Consider the following 19966-nt stretch of genomic DNA (forward strand, 5'->3'; position numbering starts at 1 on the left):
CTGGAATTTTGACAATGTGTGCAAGGAGTCTACAGATGAAGTTGGATAGGACTGACGTTTAACCAATCTTGTGTCTTCCAATCTATTTAGTAATATTTAATTTTTTCATCAGTGTTTCATAGTTTCCACATATTTATTTTGTTAATACTGTATTTTGGTGCTACTATGTATTTTGTGTTTTTTTTTAATTTTCAAATTTCAATTATTCATTGCTGGTATATAGAGGAACAACTGACTTCTGTATATTGACCTTGTTATTTTTCCTTATTTATTTCAGTTTTGTTTTGTTTTGTTTTCCTGGGCAGAGATTTGGGTAGGGTAGATACTTTTGAGTTTTCTATATAGACAATAATATCTGTAGGATGTTGAATAGGAATTGTGAAAGAGGACATCATTGCTTTGTTCCCAGTCCAGAAGAGAAAGAGTTTCTCACTATTAAGTATCATATTAACTATAAGATTTTTATATATTTTAAAAATCAAGTCGAGAACTTCTGTCTATTCCTAGTACTCCAAGAGTTTTATTATGAATGGACGTTGAATTTTTTCAGATGATTTTAATGTCAAATTATATGCTTATGCAATTTTCTTTTTTAGCCTGTGGATTACATTAGTGATTTACTAATGTTGAACCTGTCTTGAATACCTGGAATAAATCCTGCTTGATTATGGTGTGTAATGATTGTCATACATTATTGGATTTGGTTTGATAATTTGTAGAGGACTTTTATGTCTGTATGCATGAGAAAGATTGGTATGTAGTTTTCTTTTCCTGTAATGTCTTTATCTGATTTTTGTATTAAAATAATTTGGAATTAAGACAATTTTGGAATTAAGATAATTGTAGCCTCATAGAATAAGTCAGGAAGTATTCCTTTTGCTCCATTTCTGAGGAAAATTGGTATTATTTCTTCATAAATGTCTGATAGAATGCAGCAATGAAATTATTTGGATCTGGTGTTTTTTTATTTTTAAAGCTTATTACTTTTTGATTCGATTTATTTGGCAAGTATAGAGCTGCTTATATTAATATTTCTCCTAATATGAGTTTTGATTGTTTATGTCTTTTAAGAAATGGGTCCATTTAAGTTATCAAATGTATGGGAATGTAATTGTTCACAATATTCCTTTATTAGTCCTTTAAAATCCCTGAAATTATTAGTAGTGATGCCTCCTCTTTCATAACTGATTTCAATAATTTATGTCTTTCTCTCTCGTCATGGTTATCCTGGCTAGAGGTTTATTTATTTTATTGATCTTTTCAAAAAACAATGTTTTAATTTCCTTGATTTTTTACATTGTTTTTGTTTTAAAATCATTGAATATTGCTTGATTTTTTTATTTTCTTCTGCTTGCTTTAAGCTTTATTAAGTCTTTTCCCTCACTTTCCTGAGAAAGAGGCTAAGTTGTTAATTTTAGATCTTAATTATTTTTAATTTATAAGTTTAGTGCTATAAATTTCTATCTAGGCACTGTTTTTGCAGGAGCTCACAAATGTTCTGTTGTACTTTTGATTCCATTTAGCACACTATATTTTTCTTTTATCTTCAGATTATCTTATTTACTTAATATCTTATTATCTATATCTTATTTAGAAATATGTTGCTTAATCTCTATTTATTTTTGGATTTTCCAAATATCTTTCTGTTACTGATTTTCAGTTTAACTCCATTGCACAGAAAGTACATACTTTGTATAATTTCCACAGTTTTAATTGGCTGAAGGGTCTTTTATGACCCAGGATGGGCTTTATTTATATTGGTGAATATTGTATGCAAGCTTGAGAATGTATATTCTGCTCCTGTTGAATGGGATATTCTACAAATGTCAATTAGATTAAATTCATTGATGGTGCTTTTCAAATCCCCTGTATTCTTACTGATTTTCTGCCTGCTTGATCTATTGAACACTGACTAAGGGGTGCCGAAGTCTCTAATTATAATAGTGGAATTATCAATTTCTCCTTTTATGTATGTATGTATGTATGTATGTATTTTGAGACAAAGCCTCACTCTGTTGCCCAGTCTGGAGTGCAGTGGCGTGATCTCAGCTCACTGCAAACTTCACCTCCTGAGTTCAAGTGATTCTCCTGCCTCAGCTTCCTGAGTAGTTGGGATTACAGGCATGTGCCACCACGCCCAGCTAATTTTTGTATTTTAGTGGAGATGGGGTTTTGCCACATTGGCCAGGCTGGTCTCAAACTCCTGACCTCGGGTGATCCACCCACCTTGGCCCCGCAACGTGTCATTTATTTTCATGTTCTATTGTTAAAGGCATATACATTTTGTAGCGTTATGTAGATCCAAGTCTCTTACCTGTATCATTTCTTTCCATTTGAAGAACGTGTAACTTTATTGTAGAAAGATCTGCTGGTAATTAGTTTGTGTTAGTCTGAATGAGTCTTTATTTCTCCTTTAATTTTAAAGCACAATTTCTGTAGGTATAGCTATAGATCTAGGTTGGTGGGGTATTTTTTTCTTTTAAGAAGATAAGCGTTCTATTCTACTCTCTTCTTGTTTACATTGCTTCCAATAGATGTGTAACTTCCAATTCTTTCCCTTCTACAGTTAACATTTCTCTCTTCATCTCAAGATATTCACTACTGGTATTTAAGTCATACCCATGTTACACCTTTTAAAATTGTCCTAAAATGATTTCATGTTCTATCATGTTTTTCCCCATTCTTTTTTTCGCTTTGCATTTCTGTTTGGGAAGTTTCTATTGACCTATCTTCAGGTTCACTGACTCTTTCCTTGGTCCTGTCAAATCTACTAATGAGCCTGTTAAAGGCACCCTTTACTTCTGTTAGTATACTTTTTATTTCTAGTATTTCCTTTTAAAACCTTGTTAGAGTTTTCATCTTGCTGTCTGCTTGCATTGCCCATTTGTTTTTAAACTTTGTTAATTTTTTTGTTAGAGCCCCATATTAGTTTGTTCTCACACTGCTAATAAAGACATACCCGAGGCTGAGTAATTTATAAAGAAAAAGAGGTTTAACAGACTTACAGTTCCACATGGCAGCGGAGGCCTCACAATCACGGCAGAAGGCAAAGGAGGAGAAAGTCGTGTCTTAAGTGGTGGCAGGCAAGAGAGAGCGTGTGCAGGGGAACTCCCCTTTATAAAACCATCAGATCTCATGAGACTTATTCACTATCACAAGAACAGCCTTGGAAAGGCCTGTCCCCATGATTTAATTACCTTCCACTGGGTCCCTCTCATGACACATGGAAATTATGGGAGCTGCAATTAGAGATTTGAGTGGGGATACAGCCAAACCATATCCAGCCCTTGACCAACTAATCATAATTTAAAATATTTATCTTATAACTTCATCATCTGTGTCATAGCTGAGTCTGGTTCTGAACCTTTTTTGTGTCTCCGATTTTTTTTTTTTTTTTTGCCATTTAGCAAGTCTTGTAATATTTTCAAGTTAATATACTGTTTAGTTAATAGGAACTAAGGAACTGAGGTACATAGGTGAATAGAGGGGGTACTTCTGTTAATTTGTCTAAGATTTAGCCTATATTTAGTATCTGCTGTAGCTAAGGTGGCAGAGGCTTCATCTTTCTCTAATGTCCCTATCTGTATTCCCTTTTTTACCTTTCAGCTTCCGTAAGTACTCTTCTTCCGAGAGTCTGTCCTGCAGCTCTTTCATCTATAATCTTGTTTTATTTTACTGAAGGTCTGTCACTGTGGTGGAAAGTTGTGGCAGAGGGGGAATGTTTTATAATCTTATGAGTAATCTTGGTCTTTAAATGGGCCTGTGTCTCTGGCCTATAACCTTCACATATGTTTCTCTGGTGATTTTTGTTTGTTTGTTTCATTTTTGGGCCCTCATTCCCTCTACTCTCTTCCCATACTGCAGTCTTCCCAGTCTATTTTTTTGAATTTTTGCCTTCCCATTGACTATATTTTTATCCTTCCATAAGAGAGACAGAAAGGCTAAAGTGGACAGGAGTAGAAGGAATAATGGATAATCCTTGGCCAAAGCCATTTACCCTAGAAAGAAGGTCTCTGTTAAGGAGAAAGGTCAGATATGTTTCACAATGATTACTCTTTCCCTCCCTCTGACAGAGCCAGGAGGTGAACTTTGTTCTTCACTATGAGAGCCTGGTGTGGTTCCTAGAGTTAAAACCCATGGAAACTTGGCCTACAAGCCTATGGTCCTCTGGAGACTCTCACTTTCCACACCAGTCCACTTCCACACCAGTCCACTTCCACACCAGTCCACTTCCACGCCAGTCCACTTCCACACCAGTCCACTTCCACGCCAGTCCACTTCCACACCAGTCTACTTCCACACCAGTCCACTTCCAGTGATTTATCACACCTGTCCACTTCCAGCAATTTATCAAAATTACCATTTAAGTGCTCACTGGTTTATGGCTATGGTAGCTTCAATTCCAGTTAAGGAAATCTCATCTACGTCTCTCTGGATGAATCTGTTTCTCCAGATTTTAGAATGGCTATTTGCCCTGCAATCTCATTTCTTTGATAGGTCCGTGATAAGTCATTGCCCAGTTTTTTTTTTATATGAGAAGGGATTACTTCCAAGGACTTTGAAGCTAAAACCAATAGTACCACCATGATTTTATTTAAAAAAAATAAGAGAACAGTAAAGATAAGGTAATATGTATTCTTGATCCTCAGCAAGATACAAAGAGACATAGAAAGAGAGATGAACACACAGAAAGAGAGAGAGATCCTTTAAAGGTACACACACAGAAAGATAAACACACAGAAAGAGAGAGAGATCCTTTAAAGACTGTGGTACTTTAAATACTAAAACACTAGACACCACAGGCTTGATCAGGCTTCATCATGAAGTCATGATTATTTGTGGATATTAATAGAGTAAAATGTGAATAGCTCATAAAGAGTTAATTTATATAATGAATAGAAATATAACAACAGGGATCTACAACGTGTAAGTCAAAGACATAGGCAGATGAGATATAATAATAGAAATAAATAATTTTTATATTCTACCTCTGTTGATTTGATGGACACACTGTAAGCTGATCCTTGATAATTCCTTTTTCCTAGTGTCTACATTTGATTGTAATTCCTTCCTATTAATGTGAGTGGATTATGTGACTTCCTTCTAACCAATAATATAGATTAATAGTACAGGTGATAAGATGCCACTTCCATGATTCCATTATACCTTATAAAAAATACTGTCTTTGCAGACTAGTGGGACACTCCCCTGCTGAACCTGAAAAAGCAAGGTACTATGACATACTACATACCACCTATGCAGAGGAACATGTGACAAGAAGCTATGGTAGTCTATTCCAGCCTTAGGCAGGACCTGAGGGTGACCCCCAAGCAACAGTTTGCAAAAAGCAGGGTACTCAGTCCTGCTGAAGACATGGATGCTTCCAACTCCCTGGTTTAGCTTGGATATGGATTCTTCCCCATCCGACCATCCAGATGAAAACACACCCAGGCTAATACCTTGATTGCAACTGCAGCCTTTTGACATGTTGTGTAGAGAGTCCCGCTACACCATGCCAGACTTCTGACCCACAGAAACTGTGAGGGGATAAGCACACATTTTGTGGTATGTTTGTGGTAATTTGTTACACAGCAATAAAAAGCCAGTGTAGTTGATAACATAAATGTTTATGGGATAGTCTTTTTGAGAAAATAAAAAACTTAAATTTAAGGGAAAGAAGGGAAAAAAAAGAAAATTAGAGATCCAGTTTGACTTTTATATTGTGAGATTATTGTTTATATTAAAAGGAAACCGGAAAATAAGTGTAGTATACATTAAAATCTAAAGACTATAAATGTAAATTTTGTTTTTATGCTGTAGAAGACTCAGTTGCTTTATGCAGTGATTATGACTTTCATGGCATATTGGAAAGAGGAACGCTACAGGCTCTGGGTAGATATGACCTATAGGAGCTGTCATTGCTGCTTCCCAAATGTTTCCAACCTTCTGAATTACGCTTCCTGACCTCCCTGTGAGTCAAGAATGGGACCATACAACCTCATTGACCGTGATCATATGATTGTCAGGGTAAGGGACATGGTTCAGCTGTATGCTAAAGCATTTAATTGCTGTTTTAAGATTACTTGTTCCCTCTGTTACAAAAAATAGTGGACTTGGAGATGTTACGTTCTCTATTGCCCTGGATCCTTAAAAAATTGGGATAAGCAGGTGTCTGTTATCAGTCCATAATGGGCATGTCACATGAAATTACTCAACTTTTATTATGTTTCCTCAAGGATACAGTGGGAGAAATAATAATATCTCACTCTTAAGGTTATTAGGACTAAATGAAGTAAGTCAAATTTTTTAGAGTAATGTCTTCCAGGCTCATACATGTTGTCACAATGGCATGATTTCCTTCTCGTTAAAGGCTGACTAGCATTCTATTCTGTATATATGCTATATTTTCTTACTTACATTTAAAGTATTGTATTCCATTCTAAAGTCAAGTATTCCATTCTGTATATATGCCTTATTTTTTATATGCTGTTCATCTGGTGATTAGCACTCACATTGATTCTATCTTGGTTATTGTCAATAATACTGCACTAAACATGGGAGAGTAGCTAGCCCTTCAACGTATTGATTTAAGTTTTATTTTATATGCCCCCAGAAGTGGGATTGCTGGGTCATATGGTAGTTCTATTTCTAGTTTTTTGAAGAACCTCCACAGCATTTTCCTTAACGGCTGTACTAATTTACATTCCCACTATCAGCTTACAAGTGTTCCCTTTTCTACAATTTTGCCAACACTTATCTTTCGTCTTTGAGAGAAATAAGCTAAGCACAGAAAGACAGATATCACATGATCTCATTTTTATGTGGAATCTAAAAAAGTCCAACTCATGAAAGTAGAGAGTAGAATAATGGTTACCACATGCTGGGGGCAAGGTCAAGAGGAAAGGAATAGGAAGCTGTTGGTCAGAGGGCACAAAGTTTCAGCTAGATAGGGGGATGAGTTTTGAGATCTATTGCACACTGGGTTGAGCACAGTTAATAACAATGTGTTGTATATTTCAAAATAACTAAGAGTGCACATTTCAAAAGTCTCATCACAAACATGGATAAGTAAGTGAGGTGATGAGTATATTAATTAGGTTGATTTAATAATTCTACATTGTATCCATGTATTAAATCTTCACATTGTACACCATAAATTTATGCAAGTATGATTTGTCAATTGAAAATAACATTAATAACAAAGATAAATTAAAAAATAGAACAGTACAGTTCTTGGTATGTAGCAGATATTGTTGCTGTTGTCATCATCATAGTACCCTGACACCCGCTTGCTTCTGAAATCTGGTATTTGGCCAAGATAAAAAGACAAAGAATTCAAAGAGCACACAATTCAAACCAGCGTGTCTGAAGTTGCCTACAAAGGAGTTCCTAAAGTTGATTTTAGAATATCCTTTCTTATTCCAGGGACTTGCATTTGATTGGATTTTATAAACAGTCTTGAATTGGCTGTTGAATTCCAAAGAAAAGAACGTGTGTGTGTGTGTGTGTGTGTGTGTGTGTGTGTACACGTTTATTTATTTATTTATTTTTACTTAGTTTGGGAAATATTTCTATCTACATACATTTATATAAAGAAAATATATAGATCTCTCTACATATATTTAGTTATTTTGGGAAATGAGGACTCCCTTGTGATAAGGAAGATAAACTAAATAGTCAAGAAAGGGAAAGAGAGTTCCAGTGTTTTGGCCACTTGAGGCAAAGGCTATGCTTTGGGTGCTTCTTCAGGCTTTTACCCTCTGAAGTGCATTATTTTCCTGCTTCTACATATAGTATTGGCCAAGTAAGATCTGACATTTTATAATCTCATGTAAATATATATAATACTCAGCTGCATTTACTTGTTAGAAAAGTAAAAACATTTTCTGGCAACTTCTTAGATGTTAGCATGAAAAAAAGATAGAAATAACTTTGCATAATAAAAATAACTTAAAACTGTGTGAAATAGATGTATCAAAATTTTTGAAAATTCACTTGAAGTTTGAAGAACAGTGCAACCTTCTAACGTATCATCAGATATATTACAAAATATATATATTACCCAAAATATATGTACTACCCAAACTGATCTAAAACAAATATCTGGATACAACTTTTCAGTATTAATATTTTCATATCCACTCTTTTATCTACTGTTTACTTGCTAGAAAAGTAAAAACATTTTCAGGCAGTTTCTTACATCTTAGTATGAAAATAAATGATAGAAGTAACTTGTATAATAAAGATAGGTGTTAAAACACATAACTTTTAAAGAAATAGATGAATTAATTTTCTTTTGAAATAGAAAACCACCATGGGAGGTGGGCAAGGCATTCTTCTAATTTTACAGATAAAACAGGGTATTTAGAGATATGAGGTGACTAGCCCAAGGCCCCAGGAAGAATTAACCTGAAACCGCTTGGTTCCCTTCTCAAGGCTTGCAAGCATGTGGGTCAAGAAGGGCCTTTTACAGATGGAAATGGGGGAATAAGATTCCCTCAGAACATAAAATTACCTTGGATTCCTTATCCAGCCTTCCACCACCAACCATAGCCTGTCAGTCACCAAATTCTTCTGTTTTACCTCCCAAATATTTTTTCCACTCTATTGTTTTCATCTCCCTTCTGAGGTCCTGTGAAATAAAAGAAGTAATGAAGTGCTTGACTTGGTCTAAGCTCTGGCTCTCAGTTAACTTTGGTTTTGAGGCAGTTCATGGAATGTTTAGAGCATATGCTTTGGTGTCAGGAAGACTTAGTTGGAGTCTGGCCATGATGGCTCACGCCTGTAATCCTAGCACTTTGGAAGGCCAAGGTGGGCAGATCTCTTGAGCCCAGGAGTTCAAGACCAGACTGGGCAACATCATAAAACCCCTTCTCTACCAAAATATACAAAAATTAGCCAAGTGTGATGGTACACATCTGTAGTCCCAGCTACTTGGGAGGCTGAGGTGGGAGGATTGCTTAAGCCAGGATGTCAAAGCTGCAGTCAGCCGTGAGCTGCCATTGCACACTAGCCTGCCTGACAGAAGAAGACTCGGTCTCAATAAAAAACAGACAATTTTTTTTTTAATTGAAGGAAGACCTATTTTGGGTCACTAACTACAGATAAAATTGTGAGATGAACTCATCATTCGTCTTTCTAACTCTGTTTCTTCTATTTTAAACTGTAGCTAACATCTAGTACACGCAACAGGGGTTGTTTTAAGAAGTAAATGAGATTCTAGGAGATGAAGTGATTAGTAGAGTGCAGATGAATAGTGAGTGCTTAATTCATGTTACTCATTTTTATTATTTTATCACTGGTTTTGATTACCTCCCTTGTTTCCTTGTTTATAATTTTTTAATGCATTTTTTTTGCAAATTTACTGCAAATTATTTGATCATTTATAAAGATTCCTGACCTTTGTGGAAGTAAACAAAGATCAACCAAATGAGATATCAACGGCTATTTTATTCATAACTTGCTATAACAAGAGAGTCAGCTGCCATTCATGTGTTTGGCAGAGGCTGAAAAGCAGGCAGAGGAGGAGGAAGGCTATTTGGTGGGTGAAAGGGAATCCTCCAGGTGTGCCCCGATCGGAGGCTGTTGGCCTGAGGAAGTTGTCTGCTAGCAATGGGGCATCCCATGTGATTGGTTAGGAGAACAGATTCAGCCTTCTCTAGTTGGTCCCAAGTTGGAAGTGGGAGCTCAAATTAGGGAAGCCGCCAGTTATTAATCAAGTCCTGGCCACTTAGAGACAATTTTATAGATGTTATCGCTTGCCTTCATGGACTGCTGCTAGAGACAGCAGTCTGAGTATCTACAACTTGACTTCAACAGGCTGGCTTACTGGGCTAATTATTGAACACGAGGTTGGTTTAATATGCAGGTTGCTGCAGGTTGCAGGTTGGAATTCTAGTTTTGTACATGGTTTAGCTGTTGTCCACTAGTATGTGTAGACTCTCACCTTGCTGTCATGCTGATACATCCAAAGCACAAATCGTATTGGTGATTTCTCTGCTTAAAATCCTTCAATGGTTTCGTGTATCTCCAGGATAAGTTCAAAGGCCCTGAGCAGGACACTAAAGGTGCTCAATGGTCCCATCTTTTCCTGTGTTTGTGGTTTTATCCAAGATCACCGTTGGCAGGAGATTGTGCTTTATCCTAGAGGAATAACAACATCATTTGCATTTCCAGTGCATACACTTGACTGCTTGACAGCTCTGTTGATTGTTGTTCTTGCAGGGAACACCCTCCACCTACTGCTTTGCTCTTTATTGCCTTCATTTCAGCCTGTTTAGCCACCACCATCTCTGGAACCCTGCAGTGAAGGTGTTCAGCTCCTCATCTGTGCTCCCAGAACACCACGTGCCAACTTCGGCCCCAGGACTCAGTGCATCACATTCCAGTTCCATCTTCATGTATGTCTCTCTCCCATTCCAGACTGTGAGCTTCCCAAAGGCAAAATCTGTTTTATTTGTCCTCTTCCCTGGCACTTTGAGCAGGTCCTGGCACTTATTTAATGTTCTGTGCTGAATAAGAGTGGTAGGGGATTAGGACCAACATTTTCCAACTTCTGTTTGAGAGTTCTTTCCAGTAAGAAACGTCTTATGAAAATGTGACATTAAAAATGAATGCTGGAAAGTAATTTCGAGTGGTCCCATGGAACCAAATATGATTAAGGCATTTTCAATCTGTCCTCCGTGGCATTTCAGAAAATGTCTCTATCCTGAGCTTAAGTGTGGTGAGTAGTCTGCAACAGCTATTGTAAGGCAAATCCTATTCTTTGCCTGACAATAAAAACTGGATAAAGGAGCTCTTTTTGAAGCATCTGTTTGTGTCCTGGAATGTAAATATCTGCCACTTTTCTAACTAAGACTTCAGTAAGAGAACTCTGACACTCTCAGCAAAGATCCAACCTTAAGACAAAGAGAAACAGCAAATCTCAAAGATAAAAGTGGTAAAAATGGCCCCTAGAGTTGACGGAATACTTTTGAAGTGGTACCTTTCTGCTGAGGACGATAGCTGCAGGGAATGTGAAGGTTATTCTCCAAGACTAGGGGAATGTCACCAGGACCTTTGTCTCTTAGAACTGCCTCCTGCCGGTTGGGTGTGGTGGCTTATGCCTGTAATCCCAGCACTTTGGGAGGCCAAGGTGGGGGTGTGACGAGGTCAGGAGATTGAGACCATCCTGGCTAACATGGTGAAACCCTGTCTCTACTAAAAAAAAAAACAAACAAACAAACAAAAAAAAAACTGCCTTGCTTGTGCTGTCCCTCCTCCCTGACTCGAGATGAGTGCTCTCTCCCAAAAGGCAGTTACAATTGTTCTGTAAGCTGGTCTTTCCATTTCCCTTCTTGCCCCACCAATCCAAAGACTGACGCTTCCTAAGGCATGCTTTTGTTCTTGTCATTCATCTGCTCAAAGTGTCAGTTTCTAAAGGCCCAACCAGTAGGCATGCGTCCAAGACCATCTGTCCTGAGCCCACAACTTGCCTTTCCATTTCTAGTTCACTCTACAGTCTTTGAGTCGTACTCCAGCAATTTCAGAATATACCTTGCACGGTCCCACGTCCATAAGTTTCTTGACTTGAAATTTTCTACATGTCTATGATGGTTTTGCTGATCTCTTTATCTTAGAGGTTTTTAGACTCACCTGAAGGGGCTGGGGAGAAAGAGTTTATTAAATATGCAGATTCGTTGGTCTGATGGCAGCTTATTCTACAAAAAGTGCGCTTAAAGGAAGCAATATTTTGGGGGAAAACGTTTGTGAGTGGAAATGCCTAAAGAACCTGTCTTCAAGTGGTATTGGTATATTATGAAAATTGTTTTTACTTGGGTTGAATGACACAGATTAATAAAAATAGCAGACTCTCCAAATGACATTTTATTCAGACATCATAGGACAGCGATCAGTGACCCACATCAGACATTATTATGATTTTCATTTGGATTTGGTGGGTTTTAAGAAGATTGATTGCAGCATCCAAATCTATAGCACAGACTTTTGGGGTGTGTCTAGGTGCTGCATTTGTAAGAAGCACCCAAAGGGATTACTCTTTTTTTTTTTTTTTTTTTTTGAGACTGAGTCTAACTCAATGCAGTGGTGCAATCTGGCTCACTGCAACCTCTGCCTCCCGGGTTCAAGCGATTCTCCTGCCTCAGCCTCCTGAGTAGCTGGGACTGCAGGCGCCTGCCACCACGCCTGGCTAATTTTTTGTATTTTTTTGGTAGAGACGGGGTTTCACCGTGTTAGCCAGGTTGGTCTCGATCTGACCTCATGATCCACCCTCCTTGGCCTCCCAAAGTGCTGGGATTACAGGCGTGAGCCACCGCGCCCAGCTGGATTACTCTTTAGACTAAATTTTAAAGAGTCCTTGTGGGAAATAATCCAATATTTTTCATAACGTTTTTTGTAGTTGGTAAAACTTTATACCTGGGTAATTATTTTTTCTGGTGGATTATCAATACAACAAAAGACCCTGCATTACTTATTATTTGTATTTATTTATTTATTTTCTTTAGAGACAGGTTTTGCTTTGTCATCTAGGCTGGAGTGCGGTGGTGTGATCATAGCTCACTGCAGCCTCAAACTCCCGGTAACAAGTGATCCTCCTGCCTCAGCTTCCCAAAGTGTTGAAATTACAGGCATGAGTCACCACACTTGAAGACCATGTATTATTTCCCTTGAATCTCCACAGAACATGCCAGTGTTCCTTTTAGACCAGAAATAAACCACCAAATGTTAATTTCATGCGCGTCCGTGTGAAGAGACCACCAAACAGGCTTTGTGTGAGCAACATGGCTGTTTATTTCACCTGGGTGCAGGCGGGCTGAGTCCGAAAAGAGAGTCAGCGAAGGGAGATAAGGGTGGGGCCGTTTTATAGGATTTGGGTAGGTAAAGGAAAATTACACTCAAAGGGAGTTTGTTCTCTGGTGGGCAGGAGTGGGGGTCACAAGGTGCTCAGTGGGGGTGTTTTTGAGCCAGGATGAGCCAGGAAAAGGACTTTCACAAGGTAATGTCATCACTTAAGGCAAGGACCGGCCATTTACACTTCTTTTGTGGTGGAATGTCATCAGTTAAGGTGGGGCAGAGCATATTCACTTCTTTTGTGATTCTTCAGTTACTTCAGGCCATCTGGGCGAATACGTGCAAGTCACAGGGGATGCGATGGCTTGGCTTGGGCTCAGAGGCCTGACAGTTAACTTCTGGACTATGGCAGTTTGAGGGAATACAGGTTGTTTGATATTGTTACAGAGCAATAATTTGGGGGTAATAACAGGGTATTTTAATGCAATTTTATTCAATTTAGAAGATACATTCCTGAAAAAATCCAACTGTGCTCATCATTTGTAGCCTTACTGGAAAAATAAAGTTTAGTATAAGCAGGCATGTTAAATGTGCAATTTAACAGAATGTGCACTGAAATGCTTTGACTCAAAAGACTCTCTACTTTAATTTCTGAACTCTCAGTAATTTAGGTGACAGATATTTGTTGAAATTCATTGTATTTGTAATGGCACAAGAATATTCTCAGTCCAAGCTGAAAAGCATGTATCATCCTGGAACATGGAAAATCACCGACAATATGCAGGAAAAGAAGGAACCAAAAGGACATAGATGGTTTTGAAGTAACAAACATTCTTGCTTCAGGGAGTTACCAACTGGACGTAAAGCCAGGCTGAATTGTCTTAAGGAATGTATGTTAATTGTGATTTGAACCCTTGCTTTGTCAATGATGTGTCTTTTCTTTTTTAAATGCAGGCACTTATTTAAATAATTTATAGATGACCTTAATTAGTCATTGGTCTTCTAGTGGAGATGCTTGTTAAATTTGTAAAACAGATAGATCTACAGAGAACTGTTTTAGGTAGATCAAAGGAGATCCACAAAATTTTGGTCGGAGAATGAACTGAAAGTACAGTGGGCGTTCCACAACAGGGAACACTCATTGAGCTGCATAGAATTTCTCGGTGTTGGGTGTTCTGATTTGAAGCCTCATTACTTCCTCTGTATCATTAGGTAGCAAATTTACTTCACCCAAATTAAATTAATCAGTTATCTAATTAATACTTATACAATATTTTTAACAGTTGAGGGAAATTGAGGGAGGGGAGAGGATGACAGATGTCGCTATGCCGTAATTGGTAATGCACCAATTAAGGCAATCAGATACAACAAATTGGATTAAAACCTAACAGATCCAGTGATGTGTTTTGCCTTTTTTCTCCCCTGCAGCTGTAATGCAAAGTGAAAAAAAAAAAATTCAGTGTGTACAAACAAACCTTCGGATTAGTCATGACCGTTTCACGCTGTACTGTACAGTTGAGCCACATCTTTAGGATGCGACATTAATTGGGAGGGAAAGAACAGTTATTTGTTCTACCAAGGCATGGTGTAACATGTGATCATATGTGGCTCCTACATGTTGTTCCATGACATGCAAATCGTCCTACAACAACAACGTGGTTTATTAGGAATGTTCCTGACTCTAAATTTGGTGAATCCTTATATAAATGGTGATCTAAACTGCAGAAAAATGGTAATTTGGTTTTAAGTAGACAGATAGGGACAGCATGAATCTCAAAAGTTGCTCTTATTTCACCAAGTGTAAAAACAAAGATGGCAGATTGTGACTAGAGCTTCTGTCTGTCCCTCTCTCACACACAGCAGGCGTGGCCACTTGGCAGCAGCAATGTTTTCCACCAGAGATTAATATCATTTTACAAATCTTCTACACACAGATTTCCAGGGAGCCACTACCCACCGGGTGGACCCAGCCTATTTTGATTGTGAATTTACTATCAAGTTTATATTACATTAGTAATATAAGGACTTAAGGCTTAGGGGGGAATGGAGAGGGCAGGAAACATTATGACATTATGATGCCCGAATGTGAAATATGAATATCACATACCTTTTCACCACTTAGCTCCACGTCTGCTAGTGGCACAGATGAGACGTTAGGGAAAGAAAGTCAGAAACATTGTTTGGTTCTAATTTAGTGGATATTACTCAATTGCTGCAGGCCTGAGTGTGAGCCACCACACCCAGCCCAACCTATCAAAAATCACTCACGTCCTCTGCTTGTGTATCCTCTAGCATTTCTTGTCTTCATCAATACACTAGGTGTTGACGATGGTGGTTGAGTAACTCTAGAAGTCATAAATAGGTGAGAATGACCATATAGAGTTTATGATTGTAATAGGTTGGGAGAAGACAAACTGCAAAGAGCTAATGTCACTTCAAGCCTCCTTTTTTTTTTTTTTTTTTTTTTTTTTTTGAGATGGAGTCTCTGTCTGTCACCCAGGCTGGAGCACAGTGGCACGATTTCGGCTCACTGCAGCCTCCACCTCCTGGGTTCAAGCGATTCTCTTGCCTCAGCCTCCTGAGTAGCTGAGACTACAGGCGTGTACTACCACACCTGGCTAATTTTTGTTTGTTTGTTTGTTTTGAGATGGAATCTCCCTCTGTCACCAGGCTGCAGTGCAGTGGCATGATCTCGGCTCACTGCAACGTCCACCTCCCAGGTTCAAGCGATTCTCCTGCCTCAGCCTCCTGAGTAGCTGGGACTACAGGTGTACGCCACCATGACCAGCTAATTTTTGTATTTTTAGTAGAGACAAGGTTTCACCACGTTGGCCAGGATGGTCTCGATCTCTTGACCTCGTGATCCACCCGCCTCAGCCTCCCAAAGTGCTGGGATTACAGGCGTTAATTTTTATATTTTTAATAGAGCTGGAGTTTCATCATGTTGGCCAGGATGGTCTCAAACTCCTGACCTCAAGTGATCCACCCAACTCAGCCTCCCAAAGTACTGGGATTACAGGCGTGAGCCACCACGCCCAGCCAAAGCCTCATTTCTTGAAGAAAATCTTAGCTTCTAAATCGTTTTGTGTCCAAATTCCATATATCAGGCTTTGAGGGAAGGTGGGGGGTATGTACATGTGTGCTAAAGATAACATTACAGTGGCGCAGTCTGCATACACTCAGGCCTGCAGCAATTGAGTAATATTCACTAAATTAGAACGAATGTTTCTGACTTTCTTTCCCTAACGTCTCATCTGTGCCACTAGCAGGCAAGGGGCTAAGTAGTGAAAAGGTGTGTGATACTCATATTTCACATTCTGGCATCATAATGTCATAATGTTTCCTGCCCTCTCCATTCCCACCCTGAGCCTTAAGTTAGCCAGTACCAATCCGGACCACCCAGCTGCCAGAATCCCAACAGCAATGACAGCTCAAGAGTCCTGCTTTATCTGTGGCTCACATCCCAACCCATGCCCCTTGCCAAGTTTCATACTCTCTTTACCTGCTCTGGTTGCCCTCTTTGACCTCCTTTCTCTTTTGTGTCCTGCACACAAGATGCTGATTTTCTGGCATTGATGACAGCTCCTCTCTCCTATGTCACACTTTCCCCTTGCCCTTCAGTTTGTGCTTGCTTTTGATGTCACCGTGTGTAACACAACTGGAGTTCCTGGCTTCCCTTTACCCCGCCAGTGTTTCCCCTGAGTTTGCCATTCATCTCACAGAAGTTTTTCTTGTAACCTTAAGAGTTTTTCTTTTCTTCCCTTTGTACAAAAAAAAAAAAAAAAAAAAAAAAAAAAAAAAAAAAAGGTCACTTCTCAGGTCCCAACTCCTTCTTTTCTGGTGCCCTCATTTGTCAAAGTGACATCTGGTTATTGGAAAGTGGCAGTTCCTGCTATTCCATGAATAATGTGAATGGGCTAATTTGAGGGGTACTGCCCCATTTCCTGTTTAGAACTTACCAAAGGGGCACGTGCTTTTTGAAAATTGCTTTCAGAGAAAAACCTTCTAGACCAAGCTTGTCCAACCTGTGGCATGCAAGCTGCATGTAGCCCAGGACAGCTTTGAATGCAGCCCAACACAAATTCCTAAATTTTCTTAAAACATTATAAGATTTTTTGTGTGTGAATTTTTTTTAGCTCATCAGCTATCATTAGTATTAAGTTTATGTGTGGTCCAAGACAATTCTTCTTCTTCCAATGTAGCCCAAAGAAGTCAAAAGATTGGGCACCCCTGTGCTAGACTTTTATTAAGCTGAAGTTCATAGGTTTCCTTAGTTATTCAGGTTTCCTTGGTTTTTCACCCTAGTGTTATTTTTCTGTCCTGGGATTTGATCCTGGATACCATATTTCATTCAATCATCCTATCTCCCTAAGCTCCTCTTGTCTGTGGCAGTTTCTCGGAGTTTCCTTATTTTTGATGACTTTGCCAGTTTGGGGCAGTTGTGATCAAGTATTTTGGAGTGTCTCTTAATTGAGATTTTCCTGATGTTTTTCTCATGATAAGACTGAGATTCTGAGTTTTGAGAAAGCTCACAGACTTGTTAAGTTCTATTTTCTTCACATCACATCAAGGGTACATAACATCAACACAGCTTTTCACTGTTGATGTTAATCCTGGTCACCTGGCCACAGGAGTGTTCGTGAGGTTTCCCCAGTGTAAAGTTATTCCCCAGCCCCTTTTCTGCAGTGTTTGGGATTCTGGCATAAGTCACAGATGTTGGCCTCCTTTGGATTGTCTCCGAGGCTTTCAGTATTGGTCCCTATGAACTGGGCAATCACATCGTGCTTAAAACAGGTCTGTTGTCTAAGAAATTAGGATTCTAATATTCTTACTTTGTTGCAGACCAAAAAAAACTTCTTTGGGTTGTTGTTTATTTTTATTTATGTTTTTAGTAGATGCCAGGTAAGGAAGGAAAATAGCTGTGATCCTTGTGGTGAAACTCTGCATCTTGGCTGTAATGGTGGTTACATGAACGTACACATCTGATAAAATCACATAGAATGAATCATACACACACACAGACATACACAAAATTGCATGTAAAACGGACGAGATCTGAACACAGTCAATAGTTTGTGTCAATGTCAATTTCCTGCTTGTGACGTTATACTCTAGTTATGCAAAGTACTACCACTGGGGAAAGCTGAGTAAAGGATGCATCTTTCTGTATTATTTCTTACGACCTGCAGGTAAAGCTACAATTATCACAAAATAATAAGTTTAAAAAGATTAAACTATTAAATACAATTTAAAGTATCTGTGCAGTTCTTTTTGTCTTTAGAATACACTTCACTAAGCCTATATAGTCAAAAAATACATATTTTAAAGTCACGTGAAAAAAATGTACTATGGGCTTATATTATTAATGCAATATTCAGTTAGAGTTATTTGCTCATTTACTTTTATTTGTTTTCAATATCAGGGATTTCTTACTAAACTGAGTTGTGTTTTCTTAATAGGTAATGTATCTACATGATTCAAAAGTTAACAATAAAATGAAGAGATGCCTAGAAAATCCTGCTTCCTTTAGTGCCTCTTCCTTTGTTTTCCCGAGGTCTCAACCCTTTATAGATAAATATTTTCTTATGTCATACTTACCCTTCCAGAGTTTGTTTGTATGAACGAATAACTGCCTTATCTTACTAAAGAAATCAACATACAATACATACTATGATGCATGTTGCTCGTTTTCCCGGTATATTTTAGAATAACAATATATTCTGTCTTTATCATAATACATAGAGAACGTCCTTATTCTTAAAAACTATATGATATTAGATTCCACCACAAGAATGTACCATAGTTTACTCAGTTTTCTTTTGCAGAACAGTAAGCTAACAGATAATACCACAATGAATAACCTGGTACGTATGAGATTTCTTACTTATTCAGGAATATCTGTAGTGGGCATTTCTAGAAGTTTGATTGTCAGGTTTAAAAATTAAAGAATTTGCAATGTTATTAGATACTGTCAGATTTTCCTCCATAGATATTGAACTATTTTGCTCTTCTTCCAGAAATTACAAGTGTCTCTTCAACACCATTATTTTCAAACTCCTGTATTTTCTCCAATTTGATAGCTAAGAAATGATTATTAACGTAGTTAATTTTTATTCATTTTATTATGAGTGAGGTTGCACATCTTCACAAATGCTTAAATGCTATTTGTAATTTGTTTTTTGTGTGATTTGTCTTTTTATATCCTTTGTTTAGTTTTTTCCATTGGGGTGCTCTTCTATTTCTTCTCAATTTCTAGAAGTTTAAAATGTATATATTACATATAAATATATACTATATATAATTGATATATATTTTAAATACATGTATTTGTTTTTAAATATATGTTTATTATAAGTTTATTATATATCACATATTTTATAAATATATGTATATATCATACAATATATTATATTATATAATATATAAATATATTGTATATCAATATATTATATAATATATATCAATATATTATATATCAATATATTATATAATATATATCAATATAATATAATATATATCAATATGTTATATAATATGTATCAATATGTTATATAATATGTATCAATATGTTATATAATATGTATCTATGTTATATAATATATATCAATGTTATACATATCAATATGTTATATAATATATATCAATATGTTATATTATATAATATATATCAATATATGCAGTTATATATAATGTATATGTGTAACTTACATATTATATAGCATAGTATATATTAATAGGCTATATATAGGAAACGCTTAGAAATTTAGGTATGTATACATATATATGTAGTCATATATATACACATATGTGTATATATGTGTACATATATGTGTGTGGGTGTGTATATGTGTACACACATACATTTACTTCTTTGGGTTTTTAAACCGACATCCTGTGGCTCAAAAGGAGATAGAGCGAGCATTGAACAAGTCAAATCCTCCATTTTTAACCATTCCCAAACTAGAGGATGAACACAATCAATACATATGTTATGATTAGACAACAAAGGTTAACACAATCAGTTCCAGATATTGATCTCAAAGTTCAGAATAACAAACACATTCCATCATGAATCATAAAACATTCCATTAGGTAATAAATGAACCCAGTACAATGCTTGGTGATGTAGTAGATACTTAATAAATATTTATTGAAATAATGATATTTGGAATGATTT

General features: G+C 37.3%; 1 long non-coding RNA gene across 2 annotated transcripts in view, besides 2 other annotated features; it reads left to right on the top strand.

The window, feature by feature from the left end:
- LOC105373220 (uncharacterized) overlaps positions 1 to 19966 on the top strand; it is a 121907-nt gene that overhangs the window by 43633 nt on the left and 58308 nt on the right. The gene's annotated exons all lie outside the window — the stretch shown is intronic.
- Positions 12548 to 13366: an enhancer, noted in NCBI's record as "OCT4-NANOG-H3K27ac hESC enhancer chr1:238542557-238543375 (GRCh37/hg19 assembly coordinates)". NCBI's record gives its function as "activates a minimal SCP1, AML or CMV promoter by ChIP-STARR-seq in naive H9 embryonic stem cells {active_cell/tissue: H9 hESC(naive)}" and the evidence as "EXISTENCE:reporter gene assay evidence [ECO:0000049][PMID:30033119]".
- Positions 13367 to 14186: an enhancer, noted in NCBI's record as "OCT4-NANOG-H3K27ac hESC enhancer chr1:238543376-238544195 (GRCh37/hg19 assembly coordinates)". NCBI's record gives its function as "activates a minimal SCP1, AML or CMV promoter by ChIP-STARR-seq in primed H9 embryonic stem cells {active_cell/tissue: H9 hESC(primed)}" and the evidence as "EXISTENCE:reporter gene assay evidence [ECO:0000049][PMID:30033119]".

This window comes from Homo sapiens, chromosome 1 (assembly GCF_000001405.40).
Source record: "Homo sapiens chromosome 1, GRCh38.p14 Primary Assembly".
Lineage (NCBI taxonomy): Eukaryota > Metazoa > Chordata > Mammalia > Primates > Hominidae > Homo > Homo sapiens.